Genomic DNA, 14,312 nt, shown 5'->3' on the forward strand with positions numbered 1-14,312 from the left:
TCCCAAACTCCTGGCCTCAAAGGGTCCTCCCACCTATGCCTCCCAAAGCACTGGGATTATAGGTGTGAGCCACCATGCCTGGCTCCTATTTCAGGGGTAACTTTTAAAAAACACTTTGTATGCTTTAAATGCAAAATTTCTCTTTATCTGGCTAGAAGATATCAATATCCATAATTCTTTTATCTGAGACTAGAATGTAGGATTTAAAAGTTGAAGGTGAAAGGTAAACTTGTTCCAGACGATCACTTTCATTCTTGGTGATTAAAACTGATAACCTGAAATCAGTTACCACAGAGGCTGCCATATGGCAGGTACCCAGTAAATGTGGAGCAAAGGAGGATGAATATACTGAGCTGTCTGAGATGTATGTGTTCAGCTGCTGTCCCAGTGAGCAAGAGTAGGTGAAACTTCACGTGCTTAGACCTGTAGGTACTATTGCCTCACTCCCACCAAACTGGGACTGCAGATCTTTAGTTTCTAGGTTTATTTTGCAGGAGTCCAGCCATCCCTAGAAAACACTCTTTCCTCAATCCAGGGTGTTTTGTGTAGCAGTGGGCTGTTTTATGTAAATTGTACATTGACAAGTTCATTAGGTTATCTAGTATTTCAGCCCCTCAGTTAACATTTCAGCTGAGACCGAGAGAGGAAGTGACTTGCCCAAGGTAAAATCACCATGTCTAGATAATCACTGATATGGCAGGGACTGGAACACTAGTCTCTGCATGTAATCATCTTTTTGTCTCGTTTCTGAAATAGCTCCCATCTCTACCCCTGGCCAAGGACCAAAACAAGGCACCATCTTTCTGAACTAGTTTAAAATGGTTTTAGAATTAATAAGGACTGTAGGGTCTATATTTAAGATGGTTACAGGAAATTCGACAGTTAAATGTTTCTACACATAGATTATTTAGAAAATCAAGACTAATAGATGGGCAAAGTACACAGGAAGCAAATGAAAAATTGTAAACATCTAAATATTCAGTATTCAGTGGTATGGGAATAGTTTAGGAAGCAATAATTTTCTTTTTTTTTTTTTTTTTTGAGACAAAGTCTCGCTCTGTTGCCCAGGTTGGAGGGCAGTGGTGTGTGCGATCTTGGCTGCAGCCTCTGCCCCTAGGTTAAAGCAATTCTTGTGCCTCAGCCTCTCGAGTAGCTGGGATTACAGGCACGCCCCACTACGCCCGGCTGATTTTTGTACTTTTAGTAAAGACAGGGTTTTCCCATGTTGGCCGGGCTGGTCTTCAACTCCTGTCCCCACGTGATACGCCTGCCTTGTCCTCCCAAAGTGCTGGGATTACAGACGTCAGTCACCATGCCCGGCCAGGAAGCAATAATTTTGATGGGCTGTTTGCAACTAATAAAATGCGAATTGTGATGATTTAGAAAGGGTGTTTAAAAATCTAGTAGGGATCTTGGAGGAGTTCTTTTTATACTTTCCTTTCTTCTGTACTATGCCTAATACTTAGTTGTTTTCAGGAAGTTCAGATTTTTTTTTAATTTAAAAGGTTAAAGTTTACCAAATGTTAACTGAAGTCAGTTTCTGAAGTTCTTCAGTCAAAACCAATTTATTTTCTGTAAAAAAAAAAAAAAAGTACTACACACCATATAAACTGGTAGCTGTTTGTTATTCTTGATATGTGCAGTAAAAACTATCATGAGAGAGTTGGTAAAGATTTAATGAACTGGTAGAACATGTTTTTCTTAGTTGCTAAGAACCATCTGAGCTTAAATTTAAAAACATTTTTTTCTAAAAACAAAATTGGTTTCTGAATCAAATGTGTATTTCTTTCCTATAGGGGCTTTGTTATGCACCTAAAGCCATATTGGAAGCTCCAGAAGAAAGAGCACCCCCCGGAAGTCAGCAGGGAAACGCAGAGAACTCCTATGAACCACCAAAAGGCTGTAAATGATGAAACATGCAAAGCTAGCCACATAACATCAAGTGTCTTTCCTTCAGCCTCTCTCGGTAAAGCATCATCTCGAAAGCCATTTGGGATCCTTTCTCCAAATGTTCTGTGCAGTATGAGTGGGAAGAGTCCTGTAGAGAGCAGCTTGAATGTTAAAACCAAAAAGAATGCACCATCTGCAACGATCCACCAGGGCGAAGAAGAAGGACCACTTGATATCTGGGCTGTTGTGAAACCTGGAAATACCAAGGAAAAAATTGCATTCTTTGCATCCCACCAGTGTAGTAACAGGATAGGATCTATGAAAATAAAAAGTTCCTGGGATATTGATGGGAGAGCTACTAAGAGAAGGAAAAAATCAGGGGATCTTAAAAAAGCCAAGGTACAGGTGGAAAGGATGAGGGAGGTTAACAGCAGGTGCTACCAACCTGAGCCTTTTGCATGTGGCATTGAGCACTGTTCTGTGCACTATGTGAGTGACAGTGGGGATGGAGTCTATGCTGGGAGGCCTCTGTCAGTTATACAGATGGTTGCCTTCTTGGAGCAAAGAGCCAGTGCTCTGCTAGCTAGCTGTTCAAAAAACTGCACAAACTCACCTGCAATTGTGAGGTTTTCTGGCCAATCCAGAGGTGTGCCTGCAGTGTCTGAGTCCTATTCTGCCCCAGGAGCTTGTGAAGAACCCACAGAAAGGGGAAATCTTGAGGTTGGTGAACCACAGAGCGAACCAGTCCGTGTCCTTGACATGGTAGCCAAGTTGGAGTCTGAGTGCCTGAAGCGGCAGGGCCAGCGTGAGCCTGGGAGCCTCTCAAGGAATAACAGCTTCCGTCGAAATGTGGGCAGAGTATTGCTTGCAAATAGCACTCAGGCTGATGAAGGCAAAACAAAGAAAGGCGTCTTGGAGGCACCTGACACTCAGGTGAATCCTGTGGGGTCTGTATCTGTGGATTGTGGCCCTTCAAGAGCTGATCGTTGTTCTCCTAAGGAGGACCAGGCCTGGGACGGTGCTTCTCAGGACTGCCCCCCATTGCCAGCAGGAGTGAGTTTCCACATAGACAGTGCAGAGTTAGAGCCGGGTTCGCAAACTGCCGTGAAAAACAGCAACAGATATGATGTGGAAATGACAGATGAACTCGTTGGGTTACCTTTTTCCTCTCATACCTATTCCCAAGCCTCTGAATTGCCCACAGATGCTGTTGATTGTATGAGCAGAGAGCTTGTGTCCCTTACTAGCCGAAATCCTGATCAAAGAAAAGAATCTTTGTGCATTAGTATCACTGTGTCCAAGGTAGACAAAGACCAGCCTTCCATTTTAAACTCCTGTGAAGACCCAGTTCCAGGGATGTTGTTTTTTTTGCCACCTGGTCAGCACTTGTCAGACTATTCCCAGTTGAATGAAAGCACAACAAAAGAGTCTTCAGAGGCCAGCCAGCTTGAAGATGCTGCTGGGGGTGACAGTGCATCTGAGGAAAAAAGTGGGTCTGCTGAGCCATTTGTACTGCCAGCCTCTTCTGTGGAAAGTACATTACCAGTGCTTGAGGCATCCAGTTGGAAGAAGCAGGTGTCGCATGACTTCCTGGAGACCAGGTTTAAAATCCAGCAGCTTTTGGAGCCTCAGCAGTACATGGCTTTTCTGCCCCACCACATTATGGTAAAAATCTTCAGGTTACTTCCCACCAAGAGTTTAGTGGCCCTTAAATGTACCTGCTGCTATTTCAAGTTTATCATTGAGTACTACAATATCAGGCCAGCAGATTCTCGCTGGGTTCGAGATCCACGCTATAGAGAGGATCCTTGCAAACAGTGCAAGAAAAAGTATGTGAAAGGGGATGTGTCCCTGTGCCGATGGCACCCCAAGCCCTATTGCCAGGCATTGCCCTATGGGCCAGGGTATTGGATGTGCTGCCACCGGTCTCAGAAAGGATTCCCTGGCTGTAAGCTGGGGCTTCATGACAATCACTGGGTTCCTGCCTGCCACAGCTTTAATCGGGCAATCCATAAGAAAGCAAAAGGGACTGAAGCTGAAGAGGAATACTAAAGTCCATGTGAGAGGCAACAAAAGGACCGGTTTCTAAAGCTGCAAAACACCTAGATACACCGTTCAAATGAGCGTAGCCCCCTGAGTCATCACTCTAGAAGAATCTGTACATCATCAGGACTGCATTGCTCAGGCATTTTCTAAACTCTAAATTTACGAGCTGTACAAAAAAATTGGTCTTGTTGTTTATAGTGGCATCTCATGTTTGAACCCGGGTGGTATCCCACAGTTGGATTCAGTTGGCTGTGAATAACTGCCTGTTTTCCTAAATCAAACCCATCCTCAAAGGATGAAGACTCACCACCATCCAGGACATTCAGAAGAGTTCACTGCAGATGCTGCAGGTAGTCCTCAAAAATGGGTTCCAGAAATGTTTTGAGCACTGGCAACATATTTGAAATAAGTGAATATTGTCCTGTGAAAAGAATAGCAGGACTTTTAGATGAAAAGTATTCTTAAAAAGAAAAGTCAGGCACCCCACCTTAGACCTCGTATGCTTGATCCTGTGAGATTGATGTTTGTGGCTGGAGGTGGATTTCATGCCCTGTGGTGTTTACAGTGTATATAATGGTTGTGTTTTCATGGGGCTATGAAAGTGCACGTTAAACCTGAGCGCCTTTACCTTTAGATGAGTGCTTTGGCCCCTCTGTGAATAGCACGATTAAAATCCAGTTGTATATAATGGACAGCTAACGGAACAATATAATCACCACAATGCAGCTAGGATAGTGTTGCGGCTATAATTTTGTGTTTTTTTTTTTTAATTGTCTAGTCTTAAATTTGTACATCTTGTATAAAATATGAATGTTTCCCAAATAAACTATGAATGTTTCCTGTATAATATATGAATGTTTCTGAGAAGAAACTCTAAATAGTTGAAAGGCTAACCTGCTCAAAGGATACCAAATAATGGTTTAACTGGACAACCTGAAAATTAGCATAGAAAACAATCCTTTGTTATATTTTAGTGATCCACAAGATTGAGAAAATATTATATAGTTAGATAATAACATTCTTGTCTACTTTATCCTGTCTGGTTACAAAATTTTTTAAAACTTAAATAAAAACATGCATCTTAAATGGAACCCAAGTTTTGCAAAGATTTTTTCTCCTGTTTTGATACAATGTTGAAGAAGGTTCTTGTGAATTGAATCATAAGAATTTTTTAAATTGTTTTGAATTGTTGGAGATAAAGTGTTTTTTTCTGCCACGGAAGAGGCCATCTTCACTTAACATTGAAGTTTAAATTTTTGCAACCTGTCAGTTCTTCCGTTTGTTGTCTGTTCACAACCATTGTATTTCCTGTTCGAGTGACGTATTATCTAGGAGATTCTTACAGCTTATCTAGGCGTCATCATTTGGGAGTCACTAAGGATCTATTCAAGCCTGTAGCTGCTTAGTGCTTGGTGGGGTTGGGAGGTGTTGGACCCCAGAAAGCTGCTGTGGGTGGAAGATCTAAAAACTAGGCTGGCTTGAAATCGAGTACCCACCAAAAAGCCTTGAGACCAGTGTCGGCTGCAGGCTGTGGAGAAGGATGGTACGTGCTCTAGGGGAGGCGCTGTGCTGGGCTGATGTGCTTGGTGACATGGTAGGCTGCAGCCTCCAGGCTCATCAGATTTGTCTGTGACACGGGATCAAGAGGAGGCTGAGAATAGCTTTTCCTTCAAGAGTGTTTTTCCTTATGACTCACCCAGGTGAGGCATGTTGGAAAATGCTTCTAAATCCTAGCTGTCCCCTTGGTTGAGGTTTCCAGTGTTTGTCCTACTCCCCTTGTATTTGCTGTAAACTGGCCATCTCAGTAGTGCCTTCTTAATTGGTTTGTTATGATTCATAATTTAGGTTTAAAGGAGATCAACATAAAGGACCTAGAGTACAGCTTGCCTGTAGACGTCAGCTATGGCTGACATTGACTATGGCTCTACACTGGCCCAGCCTGGACACTGGATAAACAACTCTCTTGGTTGGTTTTCACAGATCAGCCACTCTTGATCTGGTTTTCATGTGGGACACAAAGCTGTGACTGCGTGAGGGGTTAAAGTGACCAAGAGCAGAGGGCACAGTAAGTATGTCCCAGCCCCAGTTGGCATGCAGTACTTGGGTCCCTCAGAAATCGCCGGTTATCTGTTTTGAACTATGTGGCAGGACCTGGTTCCCGGTGCTGTCTGCATGAAAGGTGGAGGATTAGCAGGTGGCATCAGAGGACACCCCCTCCCAGGGCTTCATTTCTAGGCAAGTGTAGCTTTCCTCTTAGGTGAAAGATGCTGTTCTTCAGGGCCCCCTAGTGCCAAGCTGGTGAAAACAGCAGGCTTTTAAAATGTCTCCAGTAGTGTGCCGCACTACCTGCTTTCCTGCATTGCTGTAGGATCACAGAATTCAAGAAAGGACATGATAGTGTGTCAGTGTGGGCACCAGCACCCTAGCCTCTCCCCACTGCACCCCTGCCCCCACCAAAAAAGAGAAAACCTCCCCCCTCAGCTTTTCTTCAGGGACTCAGTACACCTGGCTTAGTTTTTTTCTCTCCTACCTCCTACTTCAAGCCCTTACTTGATCATCTGAAGCAAAAACCAGAACCAGGGAAACTAGAGGAGGAGTCAGGGAGCTGCTGCTCCTATTCCTGGAGTGGTTCACCTCTCCCCTGCCCAGTGGATGGTCCAGACCCAAGGAAGGAGTGAATTGAAAGCTAAGGAGGGGCTCAGGTAAGAGTAACATTTGCTTTTTTAGGCTCTCTTAAATGACTCCAGGTTAAAACAGACATACGAGAGGACTGTTCAAACCCTAAGCACGTTGGTGGCTCTGTGCTTAGGAGATACCTCTTTTGGAACCCAACCCTATGCCCCTGCTTGGCTGGGTGCCTTTCAGCGCCCTCTGCACATCTGCCACCACATGCCCCTCTTCTTGTCTGTCACCGTATCTTTGGCCCTCCCCATCTGTAGGTTCTGCATCGCAGATTCAACCAGCCTCAGATTTAAAATACTCAGAAAAAAACATTGTGTTTGTACTGAACATACACACTTTTTTTCTTGTCATTATTCCCTAAACAATACAAGCATAACAACTGTTTACATTAGGTATTATAAGCAATCTAGAGGTGATTTAAAGTAGATGGGAGGCTATGCATTGGTTATATGCAAATACTAAGCCATTTTCCATCAGAGACTTGAGCATCTGCAGATACCGAGGGACCACTGTGGAGCTTGCCCACCCACTGCACTCAACTCAGAGGGCATCGCCCACAGTGCCTCACACAACACACTCTGTAAAATGTGTGCATTCCTCTCGAGTGACCATTTTAATGTGAGGAGTGCCTCCAGGACCTGACTGCTCTGGGCCATACCATAATTTTCTGTTTAGTATGAGAAACCTGACAGGGAGGTAAAGGGGTCTTGGAGGACCTTGTCCTCTGGCCATAGCTGGTCTCATGGGAGCATCCTTGGTGGAAACTCCCACTGCAGCTATGTGGGGTTTGCTCGGTACCTCTCATTGTGCATCTGGTATAACCTCAGTTCTGTTAGCACCAGTAGTAGCTCCCCTAGCAGCAGGCTCTGAGCCGGTGGTTATGTTATGACCTAGAGGTTCCCTTCCTGGGCTTTGTCCAATCACCGCTTCTAACTTGGACTTGTCAGTACCTTCGTGCCAACCTTTTTGGACCAGCTTGGGGCACTGTTTTTATGTGAGTGTTCCCAGGTATTTTCCATAGCTCCGTTCCTTCTTCACTCAGCAGACTGGCTGTTTGTCCTCCTTTATCTACAGCCTGATACAAAAACATGAAATTAGCCTGCACACTGCGAGCCCTTCTTTTGTGTACACCACCGACTAAACCAATGAGAGCTGATGTTATCTAGCTGTATGTCGGGTATGCCTCGTTTAAAGGCATTCTCTACTGTGCAGTGTCTGACACTTGGGGAATCTGATTGTTTCTGGGGTTGGTTTGTTTGTTTTGAGATGGAGTCTTGCTCTGTCGCCCAGACTGGAGTGCGGTGGTGCGATCTCAGCTCACTGCAACCTCAGCCTGCTGGGTTCAAGTGATTCTTCTGCCTTAGCCTCCCGAGTAGCTGGGACTACAGGCATGCGCCACCACGTGGGCCCAGCTGATTTTTTTATTTTTTTATTTTTACTAGAGATGGGGTTTCACCATATTGGCCAGGCTGGTCTTGAACTCCTGACCTTGTGATCTGCCCACCTCAGCCTCCCAAAGTGCTGGGATTACAGGCGTGAGCCACCGTGCCTGGCTGTTTCTGTTTTTTTGAGATGGGGGTCTCTCGCTTAGGCTGGAGTGCAGTGGCATGATCTCGACTCATTGCAGCTTCAACCTCTTGGGCTCAAGTGATTCTCCTGCCTCAGTCTTCCGAGTAGCTGCAACTACAGCTGCATGTCACTATGCCTGGCTAATTTTTGTATTTTTTTGTGGAGACAGTTTTGCCACGTTGCCCAGGCTGGGAATCTGATTGCTTTTATCCCCGTTTTTCCTCAAAAAAGCTAGTGTTGCAATCTTTGTGAGTTGGTCAAGGTACCTGTGTGGGAGATGTGCAGTCTCAACTGACATACATGTCATTTCCTGCCTGTCATTTGTGGCCATAGCTGATGTTTGCACAACCTCTTGGGAAGAGCAAACATTGGTGGTTATAAACCCTTGGGTAACATCCAGTGCATTTATACCAAACTGATGTGAGGAAAAGCACAGTAAGGTAGCATCACCATTCCAGGTGGTTGGTTTGACCTTAACAGTTTTAGGGGAGCAGAGCCAGTGTCTGGGAAGAACTGAAATGGAAGCAGAGATGGCAGTCCCTTATGTGGCAGCAGCCCATGTAAGAGGTGATGTTCCTCTATCTGCAAAGCAGAACAAAACCTTTTACCCTTTCTCCCAGAGGCCCCCTCAGCCAAGCATCCTTCAGTGAGCAGAGAACAGGCCTCAGAACAAACTCCTTTTGGGACCCCCCTCTCATTCTTTTTGAATTAAGGTGGACTTTTCCTTTACATACTGGTACTGAAGTCTCAGATCTGTTTATTAAGAAGTATGAAGGGCTCATGCCTGTAATCCGAGCACTTTAGGAGGCCAAGGTGGAAAAATCATTAAGCTCAGGAGTTTGAGACCAGGCTGGGTAGGAAAGTGAGACTCTGTCGTTGTACAAAAAATAAATGAGTGAGGCATGGTGGCACACACCTGTAGCCCCTGCTATTCAGGAGGCTGATGCAGGAGGACAGCTTGAGCCTAGGAAGTTGGCTGCAGTGAGCCATGATTGCATCACTGCACTGCAGCTTGGGTGACCCTGTCTCAAAAAATATGAAGATGTTGATAAAGTTCTTAAAAAACTAAAAATCAATTAGTTAAATAAAAAATAAAAAATCAATTAGTTGCCAAACATGAGTAAAATGGAAAGCAAGGTTGTATTTAATTGTATCTGTTCCCTCTCCACTGTGAGGCTGGATAATCTATTTGCATAACTTGAGTGTTTGCAGTCTGGTTCAAGGGTAGGGTTGGAGCCAGGCCTGGCCCACCCACCCTTCCCTATTCTGGGACCGAACTGTTGGCCTTCACTCTGCCCTTCCTCACCAATCCTCCCCTATACAGACAACGCAGCATGATTCTGCTACAGGGTGTGTGGCCTGTCTTGAGCAATACCCTTTCTCTACCAGCCCTTATTTTCTCTCCTAAGCAGAGATGACTTGGCTGCCCTAGTGCCTAAGCTGGGACCTCTCGTGAACTTTTCCTTTTCCACGGCCAGTGGTCTTGGCTTTAGGCCCCTCAGATTTCTAAGTCTGTGCTCCATGCAGGGTCTTGAAAGGAAACTGCTGCACACTTGAAATGAGTAAATTCAAGGATTTATTATAAGGGTGTAGATATAGGGACAAGCCCTTCCCAGTATTTGCAGGGCCCATGGCAGGAACACAGAGAGCCCTCCTGCAGCACATCCCCTCCAGCATCCTCCCACCCTCTGTACTGAGCCACGCCTCAGCCACTTCTCAGGACGAAGGGATCTGTCTGGAGGACAAAGCTGGGGAAGGGCTGGAGGTCCTGAGGTTCTGGGAACCTAGGTAATGGTTTATAAGGAGAACAAAGATTCTGGAACAGTGCCTGCCCCCTTGATCCTTCAAACTCCTTGCCCATGAAGAGGCGCAGGGCAGGAAGGCCAAAGGATTGGCCCTACTAATGTGCAGGAGCTGGTGCAGAGGCCCCAGCTGCCTGGTTGGGGGTAGTAGTGGGTGGGGTAGTAGTGGGCAGGGTAGTGGCTGCACATTAGAATCAACTGTGGAGCTTTTAAAATTCTCAATGCTCAGGGCACACCCTAGACCTATTAAATCAACCACTGGGGGTGGGAGCTCCCAGGTGATTCCAGTTGCAGGTGGGGTTGAGAACTACTGACACGTGTAATAGAACCACGGGGTGATTGTGGTTGGGATGATGGTTCCCAGGTCTGGTGGAAGGAGGAGGGTGGTTGCTGGGATGGGAAGGAGGGAGGAAGGAACAAAGACATGGCAGGGAAGGAGCCAGGGAATGAACACCTTGAGCCTCAAAGGGCCTGGAGACCACCGATGCACCACTCCCAGCATAGTCTCTCTGGCAGTGAGCAGGATGAAGGGGAGGGAGTGGACCTAGAGGGGCAAATGTGAACCAGAAACAGCCTTCTGTGGGACATTTCAAGCAGGGAGAGAGTCACTATTTTGTCAGAACAAGCCTCCCCCCAGCTCTTCTTCAGCTTCCCAAAGGCCAGTGCAAAATTTCCTTCCTTCTCCATGCCTGTGGAAGAAGGAAACCTATTTCCTAAAACTTGATGATCCCTAGGAGGCCCTAAATGCACACCTGGGAAGCTGTTCACCAGGCTCTAGATAAAATTCGTTCCATCCAACAGTTCCAGACCACTGCAATAAAGCAAGTCATGAATTTTCTGGTGCATATACAAGTTATGTTTATGTGATACTGTACTAAGTGTACAATAGCATTATGTCTAAAAAACAATGTACATTAAGGAATGCTTTATTGCTTAAAACATGCTAACAATCAGCTGTGAGTCATAATCTTTGCTGGTGTATGGTTTGCCTCAATATTGATAGCTGACGACTGATCAGAGTTGGTGGCTGCAGAAGGTTGGGTGGCTATGGCAATTTAAGACAACAATGAAGTTTGCTGTATCGATTAACTCTTCCTTTCACGAAAGATTTCTCTGTAGCATGTGATGCTGTTTGATAGCATTTTACCCCCATTATAACTTACTTCAAAATCTCAAACCTCTCTGTTGTCATTTCAATGATGTTTGTAGCATCTTTATCAGGAATAGATTTCATTTCAGTTTCTGCCAGTAATCTCAGCACTTTGGGAGGCCACGGTGGGAGGGCTGCTTGAGCCCAGGAGTTCAAGACCAGGCTGGGCAACATAGGGAGACCTTGTGCCTACAAAAAAAAAAAAAAAAAAAATGGTGTGGTAGTGTATGCCAATAGTCCCAACTAGTTGAGGCGCTGAGGTGAGAGGATCACTTGGGCCCAGGACGTCGAGGCTGCAGTGAGCCATGATCATTGCTACTGCACTCCAGCCTGGATGAGAGTGAGGAAAAAAATAATTTTTTTTTTTGAGTTGGAGTCTCGCTCTGTCTCCCAGGCTGGAGTGCAGTGGTGCGATCTCAGCTCACTGCAGCCTCCACCTCCTGGGTTCAAGAGATTCTCTTGCCTCAGCCTCCCAAGTAGCTGGGACTACAGGTGCGCACCACCATGCCTGGCTAATTTTTGTATTTTTAGTAGAGACGGGGTTTTACCATGTTGGCCAGGCTGGTCTTGAACTCCTGATCTCAGGTGATCTGCCCGCCTCGGCCTCCCAAAGTGCTGGGATGACAGGCATGAGCCACCACGCCCAGCCAAAAGAAACACTTTCTTTTGCTCATCCATAAGAAGCAACTCCTTATCCATTCAAGTTTTATTATGAGATTGCAGCATTTCAGTCACATCTTCAGGCTCCACTTTTAGTTCTCTTGCTGTTTTTCACCACATCTGTAGCTACTTCCTCCATGGGTCTTAAACCCCTCAAAGTCATCCATAAGGATTGGAATCAACTCATAAACCCTGGGATTTTTTTGTTTTTTTCACTCTATTTTTATCTTTTCTGTTTTACACGCGATGTTTATTTTAAACAACGAGAGGCTAGACTTGAAGGTGAAAGTAGAAAGGATTGTAAGCCAAACTCCTGTTAATGTTGATATTTTGGCCGGGCATGGTGGCTCACATCTGTAATCCCAGCACTTTGGGAGGCCTAGGCGGGCGGATCACCTGAGGTCAGGAGTTTGAGACCAGCTTGGCCAACGTGGTGAAACTCTGTCTCTACTAAAAATGCAAAAATTAGCTGGGCATGGTGGTGAACACCTGTAATCCCAGCTATTCGGGAGGCTGAGGCAGGAGAATTGCTTGAACTCGTGAGGTGGAGGTTGCGGTGAGCCGAGATCACGCCACTGTACTCCAGCCTGGGTGATAGAGTGAGATCCTGTCTCAAAAAGAAAAAAAAAAAAAGTTGATATTTTTCCTCTTTCCATGAATCACAAATGTTTTTAATGGCATCCAGAATGGCGAATCCATCCCAGTTTTCAGTTGACTTTGCCCAGATCCATCAGAGGAATCACTATCCATAGCAGCTGTAGCGTTACAAAATGTATTTCTTAAATAAGACTTGAAAGTCAAAATTACTCCTTGAGCTATTGGCTGCAGAATGGATGTTGTTATCGTGCATGAAAACATTAATCTCCTTGTATATCTCCATCAGAGCTCTTGGATGACCAGGTACAATGTCAATGGGCAGTAATAATTTGAAAGGAATCTGGTTTTCTGAGCAGTAGGTCTCAATTGTGGGCTTAATCTGTAAACCATGCTGTAAACAGATGTGTTGCTATGCAGGCTTTGTTGTTCCATTTACAGAGCACAGGAAGAGTAGATTTAGCATAATTCTTAACAGGCCTAGGATTTTTGGAATGGTAAATGAACACTGGCTTCAACTGAAAGTCACCAGCCGTATTAGCCCCTAATGAGAGAGTCAGCCTGTCCTTCCCAAGCTTGGAAGCCAGGCACTGGCTTCTCTCTAAGTTGTGAAAATCCTAGATGGTATCTTCTTCCAATAGGATGCTGTTTCATCTCTATTGGAAATCTGTTGTTTAGTGTAACCATCTTCATCAATTACCTTAGCTAGATCTTCTGGATAACTTACTGCTTTCTCTTACACTTTTATGTTACAGAGACAGCTTCTTACACCTCATGAGCCAACCTCTGCTAGCTTTTGACTTTCCTTCTGCAGCTTCCTCACTTCTCTCAACCATCAGAGAATTAAAGAGATAGGGCGTTGTTCTGGGTAAGGCTTTGACTTAAGGTAATGTGGCTGGTTTCATCTATCTAGACCACTAAAGCTTTCTCCGTATCAGCAATGAGGCTGTTTTGCTTTTTAAATCATTTGTGTGTTCACTGGAGTAGCATTTTTAATTACTTTCAAGAACTTTTCCTTTGCATTCACAACTTGGCTGTTTGGCACAAGAGATCCAGCTTTCAGCCTGTCTTGGCTTTTGACATGCCTTCCTTACTAAGCTTAATCATTTCTAGCTTCTGATTTAAAGTGAGAGACATGGGACTCTTTCATTTGAACACTTAGAAGCCTCTGTAGGGCTATAATTGGCCCGATTTCAATATTGTTGTGTCTCAGGGAATAAGGAGGCCCGAAGAGAGGGAAATGAGGGAACAGGAGGTCAGTGTAGCAGTTAGAATACACACATTTATTAAGTTTGCTCTCTTATACAGACAGTTCGTGGGCCTCCAAAACAATTACAATAGTAACATCAAAGATCACTGATCACCATAACAGATATAATGAAGAGATTTGAAATATTGTGAGAATTATCAAAATGTCAGACATGATGAAGTGGGCACATACCACTGGAAAAATGGCGCTGATGACTTGCTCATTGCAGGGTTATCACAAACCTTCAATTTGTAAAAAACCCACGGAGAGGTGTGACAAAGCAAAGCGCAAAAAAACAAGGTATGCTTGTATAAAGGAAAAAAAGAATGTAAAATGTCTCAAAGGAGTAGCAGAACTCCCTTAAGCCAGTACCAGTGGCCCCTGAACCAGAAAACAGTTATTTCCTCCTGTGGATACTAGACTTAGTCCTCTTTATTTTGAATGCAACTGTGAAACTGCTGATCACAGAAGATACTCTCTGCTCCTATCGTTCTTTCATCAGCCTTGGGTTGGGAGGTCTTTCTATTCCATCTACCATCAAACCACTTGGCACTTTCATTCCCAAATTGAGAGCAACATACTTACACTCCAGAAATGTTGTCTTGACAATTTTTTTTTTTAATTAGGGAAATAAGCTGCTGGAAAGGGTAGGAAAGTTCTTTCCTCAAAA

General features: G+C 44.7%; 1 protein-coding gene across 14 annotated transcripts in view, besides 2 other annotated features; it reads left to right on the forward strand.

Annotated features, from left to right (window-relative positions):
• The window catches only part of FBXO34 (F-box protein 34), a 171,629-nt gene that overhangs the window by 77,164 nt on the left and 80,153 nt on the right, over positions 1 to 14,312 (forward strand). For 5 of the 14 annotated variants that reach the window (XR_007064026.1, XR_007064023.1, XR_007064022.1 and 2 more), the window contains exons 2-4: positions 1,797 to 4,286; positions 5,917 to 6,001; positions 6,480 to 6,638. Coding sequence is in view for 5 of the 14 variants with exons in the window: in XM_017021391.2 (XP_016876880.1) it covers positions 1,797 to 3,942 (2,146 nt within the window). In the remaining 9 variants the exon portion in view is untranslated. Of the gene's footprint in view, positions 1 to 1,796; positions 5,028 to 5,781; positions 11,167 to 14,312 lie in introns of those variants that run through there. The other 9 variants (NM_017943.4, XM_006720185.4, XM_017021391.2 and 6 more) reach the window with 4 other exon arrangements.
• Positions 1,028 to 1,077: a silencer, noted in NCBI's record as "silent region_5782". NCBI's record gives its function as "represses an Ori minimal core promoter by ATAC-STARR-seq in GM12878 lymphoblastoid cells {active_cell/tissue: GM12878}" and the evidence as "EXISTENCE:reporter gene assay evidence [ECO:0000049][PMID:35858748]".
• Positions 5,959 to 6,048: an enhancer, noted in NCBI's record as "active region_8432". NCBI's record gives its function as "activates an Ori minimal core promoter by ATAC-STARR-seq in GM12878 lymphoblastoid cells {active_cell/tissue: GM12878}" and the evidence as "EXISTENCE:reporter gene assay evidence [ECO:0000049][PMID:35858748]".

Source organism: Homo sapiens, chromosome 14, assembly GCF_000001405.40.
Source record: "Homo sapiens chromosome 14, GRCh38.p14 Primary Assembly".
Classification (NCBI taxonomy): Eukaryota; Metazoa; Chordata; class Mammalia; order Primates; family Hominidae; genus Homo; species Homo sapiens.